Below are 17,548 nucleotides of genomic sequence, written 5' to 3' on the forward strand. Positions count from 1 at the left end.
TCATGAGAGCAGAAGCTTCACTGGAGAGGCTTCAATTTCTGTGCAAAGGAATCAAGTGGTGTCAAGTGGTGGCATGCTCACTCACACATCTGTTGGCAGATGCTGGCAGAAGGCAAGATTTCTATTGGCTTTGTCCTCCAGACCAGTACTTCACATACCCTGTCCTTCCTCGGAGCATAGAAACCTTGGACTTCTTACATTAATATTCATGGCTTCAAAGATCTCAACTCTTCCTTAAATGAACGAGCCTCAGATGTCATATCACGTGATATCTGCCAAAATTAAAAGTCTACCACCCAGCTCCAAATGAAGAAATGCAGACACTCATATTTTAGTTAGAATAACTTCAAAGTTACATTGTAAGAATAGCATGTGGGTTGGAGATATTATTTGTAGTCATCTATGGAGCATACAATCCGCTACTTCTATGCAGCTCAAACCTATGATTTCCTATAAAGCCTACATCATCCAAGCAAAAGGGCAGCAGAAATTATTGTCCACTAAATATCTGTTTTAGTGAGAATGTTTTCCTTTTTTCGAAGTGTTAATTTTGTTGTTAACTGTAATTGATTTGATGTTACAAAAGTATAAAGCGTATTCCACATAGAATAACAAACACGAGAGGGGAAAATGGCAGAGAGGAGGCAGAACTAACTTGCAGCTCACAAATGGAAAGACAGAGCAGCATGTGGAGACCCACCTCATGAACTTTTGCTCCAAGAACTACCGCAGGAACATACCAGGAAAGCCGAGAGAATGCACAGACCCTTGAAGGAGGTGGATTACCGCTGCAGGGTCCATGGAACAGCTGAGGAACTGTGAGTCGGCTTGCTTTCTCAGCTGGGAGGCTTGAAGCCTGGGGCAATTTCTCAGCCCTGCTCACCAGCTGCTTGGAAATAAACTTGGTGCTGTTAGGGGGATATGGTGTGGGAGTAAGGCTGGCCTTTTGGGCTGCAAGCTCTTTTAGGAGCTGGTGAGGCCTGCGGCAGCTGGCGTTCCCCCACTTCCCTGGAAACCCGGGTGATGCAGCAGAGGCAGTCGCAATCCCCCAGGGAACATAACTCCATTGGCCTGAAAAACCACACCCCCCATCCCGCAAGGCAGCCACAGCAAGCCCCACCCACGGGCAGTCTGAGCTCAGACATGCCTAACCCTGCCCCCACCTGATGGTCTTTCTCTACCCACCCTGGTAGCTGAAGAAAAGGGACATAATCCCTCTATGGCCCTGCCCACTTCATGAGAAACCTGAATACTTATCCAAACGTGACCCTAGGACAAGCTCGTACCCTCCCTACTTAAGTACAGCTGATACACTCTTGAAAGCGCCACCTCCTGGCTGGAGGCCAACCAACATAAAACCAGCGCACTCAACAAAAATACAACCAAGAACCCTCACAGAGTCCACTTCACTCCTCTGCTGCCTCCACCAGAGCAGGTGCTGGTATCCACGGCTGAAAGACCTGAAGATGGATCACATCACAGGACTGTTTGTAGACACTTTCCAGTATCATCCTGGAGCCTGATAGCCCCTGCTGGATGGCTAGATCCAAAATACAAATAACGATCACTGAAGTCTGGCTCTCAGGAAGCCCCATCCATAGGGGAAATGGGAGAGCACCACATCAAGGGAGCACCCCATGGGACAAAATAATCGAACAGCAGCTCTCGAGTCCCAGAATTTCCTTCTGGCATAGTCTACCCAAATGAGAAGGAACAGAAAAACAATTCTGGCAATCTGACAAAACAAGGTTCTTTAACACCCCTAAAAGATCCCACTAGCTCACCATCAATAGATCCAAACCAAGATGAAATCTCTGAATTGTCAGAAAAAGAATTCAGAAGGTGGACTATTATGCCAATCACAGAGTCACCATGCTATATACAAAATCCTTGGCTGATAATTATTTTGTTTAAGGAGGCTAAAGTTAGGGCCCCAATCCCTCCTAGCTTGTAGGGCTTCTGCTGTTAGTCTGATAGGTTTTCCTTTATAGGTTACCTGATGCTTTTGCCTCAAAGCTCTTAAGATTATTTTCTTCGGCTTGACTTTGGATAACCCGACGATTATGTGCCTAGGTGATGATCTTTTTATGGTGAATTTACCAGATGTTCTTTGACCCTCTTGTTTTGAATGTTTAAGTCTCTAGCCAGGCCAGGAACATTTTCCTCAATCATACCATCAAATATGCTTTCCGAACTTTCGGATTTCTCTCTTTCCTCAGGAACACCAATTGTTTTTAGGTTTTGTCGTTTAACATAATCCCAAACTTCTTGGAGGCATTGTCTATTTTTTAAAATTCTTTTTTCTTTGTCTTCATTGGATTGGGTTAATTCCAAAGCCTTGTCTTTGAGCTTTGAAGTTCTTTCTTCTACTTGTTCTCTTCTATTGCTGAGACTTTCCAGTGCATTTTGCAATTCTCTGTGTCCTTTATTTTCAGAAGTTATGCTTGTTTTTTATTTATGCTATCTACTGGAGATTTTTCCATTAATATCCTGCTCCTGAATGATCATTGGCTCAACAATGAAATCAAGATGGAAATTAAATAATTCATTGAACTGAATGATGATATTGACACAACCTATCAAAACCTCTGGGATTCGCCAGTGGTGGTGCTAAGAAGAAAGTTCATAGCCTTAAATGCCTATATCAAATAGTCTGAAAAAGCACAAATAGAAAATCTAAGGTCACACCTCAAGGAACTACAGAAACAAGAACAAACCAAACCCAAACCCAGCAGAAGAAAAGAAATAACAACGATCAGAACAGAACTAAAGGAAATTGAAACAAAGAAAAAATACAAAAAATAAATGAAACAAAAAACTGGTTATTTGAAAAGATAAATAAAATTGATAGACCATTAGTGAGATAAACCCAGAAAAGAAGATAAAAGATCCAAATAAGCTCAATTAGAAAAAAAATGGGAGATATTACAACCTATACCACAGAAATACAAAAGATCATTCATGGCTACTATGAACACCCCAACATGCATAAACTAGAAAACTTAGAGCAGATGGATAAATTCCTGGAAATATACAACACTCCTAGATTGAATCAGGAAGAAACAGAAACTCTGAACAGACCAATAACAAGTAGTGAGATTTAAACTGTAATTAAAGTTACCAACAACAACAACAACAACAAAACCCCAGGAGCAGAATGATTCACAGCTGAATTCTATCAGATATTCAAAAAACACTTGGTGCCAATGCTATTGACACTATTCCAAAAGATATAGAAAGAAGGAATCCTCCCTAAATCATCCTATGAAGACAGTACCAGTTTAACACCAAAACCAGGAAAGGACTTCACAAATAAAGAAAAGTATAGAACAATATTCCTGATGAACAGGGATGCAAAAATCCTCAATAAAATGCTAGCTATCCAAATCTAACAGCATATCAAAAAGATAATCCACCATGATCAATTAGGTTTCAAACCTACTTGATTCAGGGATAGTTTGACATCTGCAAGTCAATAATTATGAAACACCACTCAATGAGAATTTTAAAAAAATACCTCACATGATTATTTCATTTGAAAATGCATTTCTCAAAATCCAGCATCCGTTTATGGTTAAAACCTTCAGCAAAATTGGCACAGAAGGGACATACCTTAAGGTAATAAATGCCATCTATGACAAAACCACAGCTCACATTATACTGAATGGGGGAAAGTTGAAAGTATTCCCCCTGAGAACTGGAAAAAAGAAGGATGCCCACTTTCACCATCTCTGTTCAACATAGTACTGGAAGTCCTAGCCAGAGAAGTCAGACAAGAGAAGGAAATAAAAGGCCTCCAAATCAGCTAAGAGGAAATCCAACTGTCGCTATTTGCTGATGACATGATTGTATAACCAGAAAACCCTGAAGACTCCTCCAGAAAGCTCCTAGAACTGGTAAATGAATTAAGCAAAGTGTCAAAATTAATTAATGTGCAAAATTAATGTACACAAATCAGTAGCCCTGCTATATACCAACAGTGACCAAACTGAGAATCTAATTAAGAACTCAATCCCTTTCACAATAGCTGCAAAATAAATAAAATAAATAAAATAAAATACTTAGGAATACACTTAACCAAGAAAGTGAAACATCTCTACAAGGAAAACTACAAAACACTGCTGAAAGATATCATAGACTACACAAACAAATGGAAACATATCCCATGCTCATGGATGGGTAGAATCAAGAATATGAAAATGACCATACTGCTGAAAGCAATCTACAAACTCAATGCAATTCCCATCAAAATACTACCATCATTGTTCACAGAATTAGAAAAAAAAATCCTAAAATTCATATGGAACAAAAAAGAGCTCACATAGCCAAAGCAAGGCTAAGCAAAAAGAAGAAATCTGGAGGCATTACATTAATTTACTTCAAACATTACTATACAGCCATAGTCACCAAAACAGCATGATACTGGTATAAAAATAGGGATATCGACTAAGGGAACAGAATAGAGAGCCCAAAAATAATGCCAAATACTCATGGTCAACTGATCCTTGACAAAACAAACAAAAATATAAAGTAGGGGAAAGGACACCCTATTCAACAAATTGTGCTGGGATAGTTGGCAAGCCACAGGTAGAATAATAATACTGGATCTTCATCTCTCACTTTACACAAAAATCAATTCAAGATGGATCAAAGACTTAAATCTAAGACCTGAAAGCATAAAAATTCTAGAAGATAACATTAGAAAAACCCTTCTACACATTGGTTTAGGCAAAGTCTTCATGAACAAGAACCCAAAAGCAAATGCAACAGAAACAAAAATAAATAGACGGGACTTAATTAAACTAAAAAGCTTCTACACAACAAAAGAAATAATCAGCACAGTAAACAGACAACTCATAGAGTGGGAGAAAATCTTTGCAATCTATAGATGGACTTGCAATCTATACATGCACTATACATGCAACAAAGGACTAATATCCAGAATCTACAATGAACTCAAACAAATCAACAAGTAAAAACAAATCATTCCACCAAAAAGTGGGTTAAGGACATGAATAGACAATTCTCCAAAGAAAATATACAAATGGACAACAAACATATTAAAACATGCTCAATGTCACTAATGATTGTGGAAATGCAAATCAAAATCACAATGAATTACAATCTTACTATTGAAAGAATGGCCATAATAAAAAAATAATACATGTTGGCATGGATGCGGTGACAAGGGAACAGTTTTACACTGTTGATGGGAAGGGAAACTAGTACAATCACTACAGAAAACAGTGTGAAGATTCCTTAAAGAACTAAAAGTAGATCTACCATTTAATCCAGCAGTCCCACTACTGGATATCTACCTAGAGGAAAAGAAGTCATTATACAAAAAAGATACTTGTACACGCATGTTTATAGCAGCACAATTTGCAATTGCAAAAATATGGAACAAGCACAAAAGCCCATCAGTCAAGAAGTGGATAAAGAGAATATGGTAATATATATTTATATATACATACACACACCATGTATATATACACACCATGGAATACTGGTCAGCCGTAAAAAATAATGAAATAATGGCATTTGCAGCAACTTGGATACAGTTGGAGACATTATTCTAAGTGAAGTAACTTGGGAATGAAAAAAACATTGTTCTCAGTCATAAGTGGGAGCTAAGCTATGAAGATACAAAGGCCTAAGAATGATACAATGGACTTTGGGGACTTCGGGGAAAGGGTGGGAGGCAGGTGAGAAATAAAATACCACACATTGGCTAAAGTCTACACTACTTGGGTGATGGGTGCACCAAAATCTCAGAAATCACCACTAAAGAACTAGTTCATGTAACTAAACACTGCCTGTTCCTCGAACACCAATTACAATATAAAAAATTTTACAAATGCATGAAGGGCTGCAAAAAAAGAATAACAAACACCAGATGCATTTTCAGTATTAATTTATAAATTAATTATGTCTTTGGTACTATTGCTCAAAATAAATTTTTTGGTCTTATTGGACATGATGATTAATTCAATGTGTCAATTTGACTGGGATAAGGAGTACCCAGACATTTGGTGGAGCATTATTTTTGTTGTGTCTGTTAGGGTGCCTCTGAATGAGATTAATATTTGAATCCCATTGACTGAGTAGTGCGGATAGGCCTCATGCAGTCATTAAAAACCTGAAAGGAACACAAAGTCTGAATGAAAGGTAACATTTTGACCCCTCTGCTTGAGCTTGAACATTGGTGTTCTCCTGTCCTTAAATAGAACTTACACCAATGCCTCAATGCCTCTCCTGGGTTTCTAGCTTGCTGACTATAGACTTTGGGACTTTGCAGCCTCCATAGTCATGTGACCCAATTCCTTATGATCACTCAATCAGTCTCTTTTATTATATATATATCTCTCCCCCTTAGAAATTTATAAAGACTGTCATGTAGAGAGACAGTCTTTTACCTTTTCTGTTTCTTTCAGGAACCCTGACTAATGAAGTAGAATTCTGTAATTCTGAAAAGAAAAGTGACATTGCTTAAAAAGTGAATTATACTAACTGTGTTTTTAAAGTCATGAAGAAAAATTATCATATTTTTAATTGTCTTATGGGAAGTAAAACTCAACCTTACATAATTTGAAAAATATTTTATTCCTGTTAATTGTGAAACAACTGGCTTTCTTTTTTTTTAAGCTAGAGTAGACTAAAATTGATTTTTTTAGTATAGAAAATAAAGTGGCATTCCTTTTTCAGGTTTGTATCTTGGGAATGATACACAGAATAATTTAAGGGAAAAGGTTGGAAATGTGTATGATTTCATTTCTGTTGCTCTCATTTTGTAAGAGAAGATTATTTCATGCTGTTACTGCAAGTTTACTTACTCAGTTCCTGAGTACTAATAATAGCTCAAAATTTCTAGTATATGATTACCAAATGAGATTTTACCGAAACTAAATAAGACTGCAATACATAGATGAAGAGCGAAATTTTGACAATGTTAATGTTCTTTTTAAATCAATGCAATAAATACAAAGTGCAGCAATGAGAAGAAATTAAATATTTGTTTTACTTAGTAAATCTTTATGTGTTATCTATGTATCAGTCACTTTGTTAAGCTCTTTACAAATTTAGCATTGTTTAGTTATCATAACCCTGAACTGCAAATATTTTTAGTATTGTCTCCATTTGAAAATCAGAAAATGAAATGTTGACAATGTATTAAATTGTCCCAAACAAAGGTATCAAGTAGCATGTGATTATAAATGGTTATTATTTATTATATGGTAGTCTTGGTAAATTGCTAGTTTAACTTTTGTATTTAACAACTGGAAGAGGACTTTTAAAATCCTGATTATAATACCCATTTTATGTAGCATTTTAGTAGATTTTCATTGCTCTAACCATAGTGACCAAAATCTTTATCCTGGATGACAAGGTCTAGGTGCTGTTTCTGTTCAATTCACCAGCTTCATTTTCTGTTTTCCCACCTCTCTTGGCCTCATATCCTGTCTTCCCACATCTAATGATTCTGGGTACCTCACTCTTTTGTCATGTTTTGGTCCATCATACCCAATACATTATTTAGTCCTCAAATCAAATAACAACAAATGAATTAGTTAATGAAGAATAAATAAATGAAGCAGCTCACAGAATAAAGAAACCATATTTTAAAGAGAAATCAGTGAGCCTCCAGCACTCACTAGGAAGATCATACCTAATTATTTGGTTAGAATGTACCTCTCCAGGCCAGTCATAGTGGCTCATGCCTGTCATCTCAGCAACTTGGGAGGTTGAGACATGAGGATTGCTTGAGGCCAGGAGTTTGAGAATAGCCTGAGCAACACAGTTAGACACCATCTCTATAAAAAAATTAAATTAAATTAAATTAGACAGGCATGATGGTTAATCTGTAGTCATCCTAGCTACTGGGGTGGCTGAGGAGGAGGAATACTTGAGCCCAGGAGTTCAAGGTCACAGTAAGCTATGACCACAACACTGCACTGCAGCCTTGGTGACAGAGCAGAATCCTGTCTCTTGAAAAAGAAAGAAATTTACCTCTCCATAAGAACTTATTAAACCCTCACAAATGTGCAAGTATACACACAAAAACATTCTGTTTCATATGTCCCTAAATTATTTTTCAAATCCAAAACATGTTTGTTACTGAGATTACATGCTTGAATAGAATTTTTTAGAAAGAAAACCTTCATATGTCTTCATTATACTATGACCAATAGTATAGTCAAGAAAGGTCATAAAAGTCTCCGAGCCTGAAATTATTTTTCCAATTAACTGTATAAAATGTTAAAGTTCTGGGTATAGATAACTTTTTCTCAATAATGGTAGCAAAGATTATAATAACACAGAGTCGTTGAATTTAGAACTATGGTTCAAGTTCTACCCGTCCAACTTAGTGGCAGTATGACTTTAGGAGTAAACAAAATCTTATCTAAAAACAAGCAATTAATAAATATCACTTTAAATCAATATTATTATGATTGTTCAAATAACAGAATTTAAACATACTAATTATATACTTATATGTTTAAATTATTTCAGTTTACAAGGATACACATTTAATACTTCTCCAAATTATTATCTAGCATAATCCAAAAGAGCATGCTTTAAACGGTACTCGCCCAACTCACAAAAATACAATTATTAGTGATGCTCACCTAGAGTGAAACTATTTACTCATTTGCCCACAGCTAGCAAGGCTTGATAGAATGAAATGAAAATACTGAGAACCAGAGCAAATTTTTAGAAGGCTCCAAAAAGATATGTTAACTATAAAAGTAAATATACATATTTGCAGTTTCTCAAGACCATAAACCATAGCTGATAATGTTTAAATTGTTTTCGTTAATCAATTCTCTTATGAAGATGAGAGGCATCTGATGAATTTTGCTTAAAATTCGTAACTAATCTTTTTCAAGTTTAATGATGTATAAAAGTTTTAAAAGTCTATTAGTGTTGAAGAATTAATGTGAGTGTTTATGGTAGAATCAGCATGATTTGTCTAGTGAAAATTCTGGGTTGATCAGACGGAACCTTCTAAAAATGTACAAATCTTTTGGGACTGTTTGGTAAATGGATGTGCCTATTATCAAGCACTGTTTCATTATAAGAGTAAATGTGTTTCATCCACAAAGGGCCAATATTGTGATATGTGAAGAAACATACCATCGTGGTATGTGGAGAAATTGTAAAGTGTATTGATAATGTTGCTGTATAATACCTTGTACCAATTCATAAATAAAATATTAATGAGTACAAAGGGCATTATATTGCAGTTCTTATAAGTAGTTTTTATTTTTTCTTTTGTTTCTCGTAACAACTAAAGGAATAGTTTTACTTTGAGATCCATTTTATAGTTAAGAAGTTCGGGCTGATATAAATGACTTTTCCAAACTATTCAAGGTAGAATGTGGAAAACCAAGAAATATCAGCTATGGTTTATGGTCTTGAGAAACTGCAAATATGTATATTTACTTTTATAGTTAACATATCTTTTTGGAGCCTTCTAAAAATTTGCTCTGGTTCTCAGTATTTTCATTTCATTCTATCAAGCCTTGCTAGCTGTGGGCAAATGAGTAAATAGTTTCACTCTAGGTGAGCATCACTAATAATTGTATTTTTGTGAGTTGGGCGAGTACCGTTTAAAGCATGCTCTTTTGGATTATGCTAGATAATAATTTGGAGAAGTATTAAATGTGTATCCTTGTAAACTGAAATAATTTAAACATATAAGTATATAATTAGTATGTTTAAATTCTGTTATTTGAACAATCATAATAATATTGATTTAAAGTGATATTTATTAATTGCTTGTTTTTAGATAAGATTTTGTTTACTCCTAAAGTCATACTGCCACTAAGTTGGACGGGTAGAACTTGAACCATAGTTCTAAATTCAACGACTCTGTGTTATTATAATCTTTGCTACCATTATTGAGAAAAGGTTATCTATACCCAGAACTTTAACATTTTATACAGTTAATTGGAAAAATAATTTCAGGCTCGGAGACTTTTATGACCTTTCTTGACTATACTATTGGTCATAGTATAATTTTGTAAATTATAACCTCATTTTCTTTTCAATATATTATTCTTCTCTTTACACTATCATCGCATACTCTTTTGTCTCCTACTGTTTCTTTCTCTACGTTTTTATTGATTTTGCTGTTTTACCTGACAGAGCCATCAATGTACTCATCCCAGGAGGTTGCCTTATACTAGGGCATTTAATCAAATTGTGATACTTGACATTAATAATTATTTAGCACCTGAGTTTGTTTAGGAATCTAGTAACTTTCCAGAATGTATACAGAGTTTGGCTCCCTAAGGAGCTTTTTAAAATATGTTTATTGGCTGCATAAATGTCTTCTTCTGAGAAGTATCTGTTCCTATTCTTTGCCCACTTTTTGATGGGCCTCATTATTAAATTTTTTAATGAGAAAGGGCTAAGTTACTTTCAAAGTTAGCATTGTTATCTCACTTTACAGTTGAGAAAACTGGAGTACAGAGAATTTAACTACTTGGCCAAAAGTTACAACATTGCCAGGTGGCAGACTCAGGATTCATAGCCTGGCTGTTTGGTTCCAGACTCTACACACAATCTACTCTGTCCCACTGCTTAATAAGATGCCTCTCCCAGCATAGCTCAGATAAAAGGAAAGTGGCAGGCAAAAGTAGCATATATTTCAGCAAGAGGAAAATTATTAAATGTTGGGTGGAATTAACTGTCTCTAATATCACTGAGCTGAAAATTAAATAATGGTAGATATTTTAAAGTCAACAGGATTAAAAAAATTAATAATTGCTAAAACATCACTGTAGAATTTAGAGATAATCTTCCAAAGACATAACATTAAGTAATATATCCTTAAAAATATATATCTTCCCCATTATCTTATAAAGCTGTGTCCACCTTAATTAAGAAAAAATAATGTGATACAAACAACTGTTTTTTCTCTAATAGTTCTCCTCCTTAAAATGTACTCACCATGAGCCTAGATCTGAAAGTCTCATTAGAATTGTTATGGATATCCAATCCCATCAAACACTTTTCATTTGTCACAGTTCTCTCGGTAGGTTTTTACACTTAGTCAATATTTGCTCATTCTTTCGAGATTTCCTGATCTTGTCTCAATAGGTACATAATTCCTGCTATACTTGATCATGTTTGTTCAGAATGGGCCTAGAGTAGAAGTTAGATAGTAGAGACTAGATAGTCGAAGTTTCATTTCTATTCTGTTTTTGTTTGTTTGTTTAATGGAGCCATGACGTGGTCTCATTACTAATCTCCACGAAACAGCAATTTATTTAATAGCGGGATGATAATATTTGCAACAGCAGTATTCAAAGTGAAGAGCAGAATATGGAATTAGCCCATGCAGATGGCATATATATTTTTAAGATTGACATAATTGCCACAGACAATCCTGTTAGGGTCATCAGGTAGCCTAGTACTGGTGCAGCCAAGTGCTTGGTTCCCTTTTCCAGTGCCCAGCACCCCATGCACCCATTCCTTAAGCTGGGGTACTTCTACTGGCATTTGCATGTTAGTCTTACTAAGATTATTTAGCATTGGTCTCCAAACTTGACTGTGACATTTTCAATCGATACTTTGATTACATAACTTAGCCACATGTCACATCATCAAGTGAAATATAAATGTGAATGTCGTTTTCGCTGTGGAAACGAAATTGAATACCATAGAATGACTACGAAATTCAGGTATTTTAAAAATACATTTTTATAAAAGGCATAGGCAATGAAAGCATAAAGATTGAAAATAAATTGTAAATGTTTGAAAGAATCCTGCCTTCGGATTATTGTCACATTGATGTTTTCAGGCTATTTTAAAGAAACTGAAACTTTTGAATATATAGAAAATGCAAGACTAGTGAGGATTTTGGAAACAATATGAGTTTGAACTCCAATAAATTGAGTCTATATTTTAAAAAGGAGTTTTATTTAGACAATTAAATATCTCTGAATTAGAGAAGATACTGATATTACGTTTTTCTTTTAAAAGTAGCAGCTGGACCCCTTCCTTATATCTTATAGAAAAATTAACTCAAGATGGATTAAAGATTTTAAAGCCCAAAACCATAGAAACCTTTGAAGAAAACCTAGGCAATACCGTTCAGGACATAGGCATGGGCAAAGACTTCATGACAAAAACACCAAAAGCAACTGCAACAAAAGCGAAAATTAACAAACAGGATCTAATTAAACTAAAGAGCTTCTGCACAGCAAAGGAAACTATTATCAGCGTGAACAGGCAACCTACAGAATGGGAGAAAAGTTCTGCAATCTACCCATCTGACAAAGGTATAATATCCAGGATCTACAAGGAACTTAAACAAATCCAAAAGAAAAAAAAACAAACAGCCCCATCAAAAAGTAGGCAAAAGATAGGAACAGATACTTCTCAAAAGAAGACATTTATGCAGCCAATAAACATATTTTAAAAAGCTTGACATCACTGATCACTAGAGAAATGCAAATCAAAACCAAAATGTGATACCATCTCACGCCAGTCAGAATGGCGATCTTGGCAAGGCTGTGGAGAAATAGGAACACTTTTATACTGTTGGTAGGAATGTAAATTAGTTCAACCATTGTGGAAGACAGTGTGGCAATTCCTCAAGAATCTAGAACCAGAAATACCATTTGACACAGCAATCCCATTACTGGGTAAATACCCAAAGGAATGTAAATCATTCTACTATAAAGAAACATGAAAATGTATGTTTATTGCCGCACTGTTTACAATAGCAAAGACATGGAACCAACCGAAAAGTCCATCAACGATATACTGGATAAAGAAAATGTGGTACATATACACCATGGAATACTATGCAGCCATATAAAGGAATGAAATCATGTCCTTTGCAGGGACACGGATGAAGCTGGAAGCCATCATCCGCAGCAAACTAACACAGAAACAGAAAACAAAACGCTGCATGTTCTCACTCACGAGTGGGAGTTGAACAATAAGAACACATGGACACAGGGAGGGGAACAACACACACCGAGGCCAGTAGGGTGGTGGGGGTTGAGGGGAGGGAGAGCATTAAGACAAATAGCCAATGTGTGCAGGGCTTAAAACCTAGATGATAGGGTGATAGGTGCAGCAAACCACCATGGCACGTGTATACCTATGTAACAAACCTACATGTTCTGCACATGTATCCTGGAAGTTAAAGTAAAATAAAAAATTAATAATAATAACAACTTTGCTTTTAGCGTTCAACATACAATATTTTATGTCCAAGTATGGATATCAAGCATTAATATCCAAAATACTATATATGTAAATTTTAGATTAAAATAAAATTAATACAACCAAATGTTAAGTTTATATTATTTTATATGATTCATTGCTTTAACTTTCCTAATTACTTTAGCTATGAAATCTTCTTCTCTTTGTTATTAATTTCGTAATACCAGAAGATTTCTGTGCAACATGAGTATAAGTAAAATTCAGGCAATTTTTTTATAAACTCAAGGAATATGAGAGTTTTAAAAATCTGTTCATGCGTACAATTTTATGAGAACTGACCCTGAAGAGAAAGTTCTAAATGTACAGACTTTTCTTGAGGTGAAAAGGATTGTGTTAACACTAATGACTGCCTGTACTGTTTGCCCCATGAGAAAAGCTATCCAGTATGATTGTTTTTAAAGATAGACAAAGCCAGGTGAATTTAATGATACATGTATTCTATTGTCACTAGTGGTTAGAATGGACAATTTGCATATAGAAATAGTGTCATACAGTACAAAAATTTAAAAACAAAACAAATATTCAAAACATAACTAAGAATATAAAATCACCTTATCACTCCCTGGTCCTGCATAGCTATTTGTTGACATTTATATTAAAGCCTTGAGCTATTTTAATGTATTCTCAAGTTTAGGAAATTTTATGTGAATTTGTATCAAATTGACAATTTTACTAATCTCTGTGTATTTACTTTTTGTAAATTAAATGAATTTTACAGCACCCTTGATTCATCAGCTGCACAGATTTAGCAGGTTTATGGTGAATAATTGCATATATTTTTTAACACTGAGTTTCTATCAAAAAGAAAACAATAGAATTTGCAAACAAATGCATGAACAATTTGTTAGTCTATATAACTCTCCCACATTTGGAATAGTCCTTCCTGTATAAGTGGAAGTAAAAAGCTAGCTTTCCATTCATAATTACGATTAGAATTAGGCATGCTTTAATTGTGTTGATGCTCTCTTATACCAGTTAATAAATCTCTCTCTCATATCAAATTGATTTAATAAAAATATCCTGTGCTATGTTTTTTCTCCTGAATGGATTACTTGTAGCTATACTTAAAAAAATCTTTCTAATTTACGAGACAGCTATATTTGTCACAATTCTCTAGAGAGACAGAAGTGGTAGAATATATACAGATAGATATAGATCAGAAAGAATTTATTAGGGGAATTGGCTCACATAATAATGGAGGCTGAGAAGTTCCCTCCCAGCTTCTGCAAGCTCGAGGCCCTAAAATATTACAGTAGTGTGGCTCATTCCAAGTCCCAAAGCCTCAGAACCAGGGAAGGCAAAGATGTCACTCTCAGCTGGAGGCTGAAGGCCTGAAAACCCAGAGGGTCTCAGGTGTAAGTTTCAGAATCCAAAAACCAAAAATCCTAGAGTTTTGATGTCCAAGGACAGGAAAATAAGGGTGTCCCAGCTCTACAAGAGAGAAGTCAGGGTGATAGAAGGGGGAGCGAGAGCGGGTGATGGGGGATGGGGAGAGAGGAAGAAGGTAGACAAGGAAACAGGGACAGGAGACAGGGAGGAAAATCTCCTTTCCAATGACTTTTTGTTCTATCTCTGTTCTTCAATATTAATTTTGACAATATTTTGGAAAACTCTAAATAAATTTTGGTGGGATAGACCACACTTTAACCTCTATAGAGACTTAGTAACTGGCTTAATCGAATCAGCTTAATTATATTCATTGGTTTCAGGAAAGAGTCTCACAGATTTTAAGCCACTGAAAACCAGGCTAAGGAATTATGCTTGCTTGGCTGCTCTGAGAGTGAAGCTCTCTGCATCTGAACAGCAATTCTGTGAGGAGGGAGGTTGACCTTCCTATGTGACTCCAAGAAGAGCACCTGATGCTCCCTGAAAGAAATGCATGGTCTCCCAGAAGGCTGGGCCTGAGAGAAATAACAGAAAATGTACTAGGCAGAGGCTGGATCTTTGGTGCCCTTGGTGAGGAGACTTAGGTCAAACATTGCCTTCTGCTTTAACTTTTGGGTTAGCAAAATGTACCAAACTTTTTTTTTCCAACGTTCAAAACAGTTTGAATTGGATTTTTTTAGTCACTGGGAGCTCACATTTTTATTACAGATAGATAAACACAAAAATACAATGTCTCCTGTTCTCTCACGTTGAAAGAAAGCTACCTCCTCAGGTTGAATTGGAAATGACATTGAGTTATAAGTACTTCTTAAAGTTGTTGCCATATAAAGACTTCTATCTATACTTCATGCCAAAAACAAATTAAAACAAATACACACACACACACCCCAAAATAAACCTAATGTTTCTTTTCCGTACAACAGCCTCCTTTTTCTTATTTATTTATTTTGAGACAGGATCTCACACTGTCGTCCAGGCTGGAGTGCAGTGGTGGTGTGATCATGCCTCACTGCAGCCTTGATCTCCTGGGCTCAATAATCCTCTTGCCTCAGCCTCCTAAGTAGCTGAGACTATAGCCAAGCACCACTAAGCCAGGATAATTTTAAAATTGTTTTGTAGAGAGGAGATCTCACTGTGTTGCACAGGCTGATCTCAAACTCCTTGGGCTCAAGTGATCCTCCTGCCGTGGCTTCCCAAAGTGCTGGGATTACAGGCTACAGACATGAGCCACCGTGCCAGGCCTGCTTTCTTTTTACTTAATTGAATACACATTTTGAATTAACAGGATTTCTTCCTCACATAGGCTGATAGGAATCTCAGGATCAAATTAACTGCATACCACTGTTGACTACAGAATAGCTGATGATATTTTCATCAGTGAATTCATTTTTGCCTTCAACTTGCTATAATACCCTTATTTATCGTCATTTTTACTTATCCGTATTTTAAATTCAATTTCATTCTGTGCATTTGTGTTATGTAACTTAACTATTCGTGAAACTGAATTTGGATAGCACTAAGTAAATAAAGCAAACACCAAATCACCACAGAAAGTAACACAAAAAATTGTCAATCTCTTAGGCTGCTGTGGACTGTAAATGATGAAAATATAACTCAATTATTTTTGGAAATAAGAAAAACACAGTGTTTTCCTCAGGAAATCCAACACTGGGGTAAATTTCAGGTTGGTTTAATAATCAGTTTAGCAATATTTTCAAGTGTTTAAATTCTCCATATATCTTAATTGTCTAATCCTTGGATTGGTTTCACTCTCATCCACGTAGCAAGATTGCTGCAACAATTCTGGTTATCTTGTCCTAACATGACAGATTCAGACAAAGAGACAGAACAGTCCTTCCTGCTGGCTATTTCACTGGAGAAATAATACATTTTTTTTCAGAAGCTGCCTCCTGTTTCACTAGGCAGGATGTTTTAACATTTGCTTTTCTAAAACAGCCCGAAGCAAGAATAATTTAATTATTACAGTTTTCCTAATATTTATGTGTGACTCTGTAGACATGACAGCAATAGTCACAACGCCCAACACCATGCATTTCTCACTTTTTAAATGTATTATTATTGTTGTTGTTTGTCCACCTGCTGAACTTCCTCTCTAGATGTTAAGAATTGTTTGCCCTGAAAATAGGAATCCCCATTAAAGTAGAGAAACTCTTAAAACTATTACCTTTACATTTTAGACTGAATCTTTAATGTACTCCAAGTAACCATTCATTCAAATAACCATTTGAAAACCTACAATGTGCCAAGCACTGTTTATTCTTTCAATCAGTATGAAATTATAAATGATAGTTACGTCTTCAAGAAGATTCTAATGCTTTTTAATTAAATGTTCAATTGAATGAATACTTTTGAGCACCAAATTTATGTCAGAAACTCTGTTAAAAATTGGAGAATGACTATTTAACAAAACAAGTCTGGCCCTTGAGAAATAGATGTAAATTCTAGTTTCTTACAAAAATTATCTTAAATTCTTTGCTACCTTTTATAAAATTAGGGTAAATTATGCTAAAAAAGCTACCTCTGATGACAGTGGTATGAAAGTTAGACTAGATAGAAATGAAGGTGGAGTTGAGAATATAGTTTAAAAAGTAAATGTAATAGATTAGAGACTATGATGCTGATCTAAAATAATAACAATAATAGCGTAAATATGTATATCAAATGTTTGCAAGAGAGAAAATTTGATCATAAGAAAATAGCAAACCCAGGTTAATGACAGGAAGGAGCCAAATATTTATGTGGGGTTAAGAGGAAGATACTTTTAGTTATATGAAAACAGGTATTTTGTTTCCATCACATGTCCCATGAGGCTTCCCTACATCCAAATTGTGTAACTGATCTCTACTGGGTGAAAACTGCTTTCCAGTACTCGTAGCTGTTTGAGATTTCCCAGTAC

General features: G+C 35.5%; 1 annotated feature.

Moving 5' to 3' along the window:
- Positions 1,049 to 1,548: an enhancer, noted in NCBI's record as "H3K4me1 hESC enhancer chr21:24366449-24366948 (GRCh37/hg19 assembly coordinates)". NCBI's record gives its function as "activates a minimal SCP1, AML or CMV promoter by ChIP-STARR-seq in primed H9 embryonic stem cells {active_cell/tissue: H9 hESC(primed)}" and the evidence as "EXISTENCE:reporter gene assay evidence [ECO:0000049][PMID:30033119]".

Source organism: Homo sapiens, chromosome 21 (assembly GCF_000001405.40).
Source record: "Homo sapiens chromosome 21, GRCh38.p14 Primary Assembly".
NCBI classification, from domain to species: domain Eukaryota; kingdom Metazoa; phylum Chordata; class Mammalia; order Primates; family Hominidae; genus Homo; species Homo sapiens.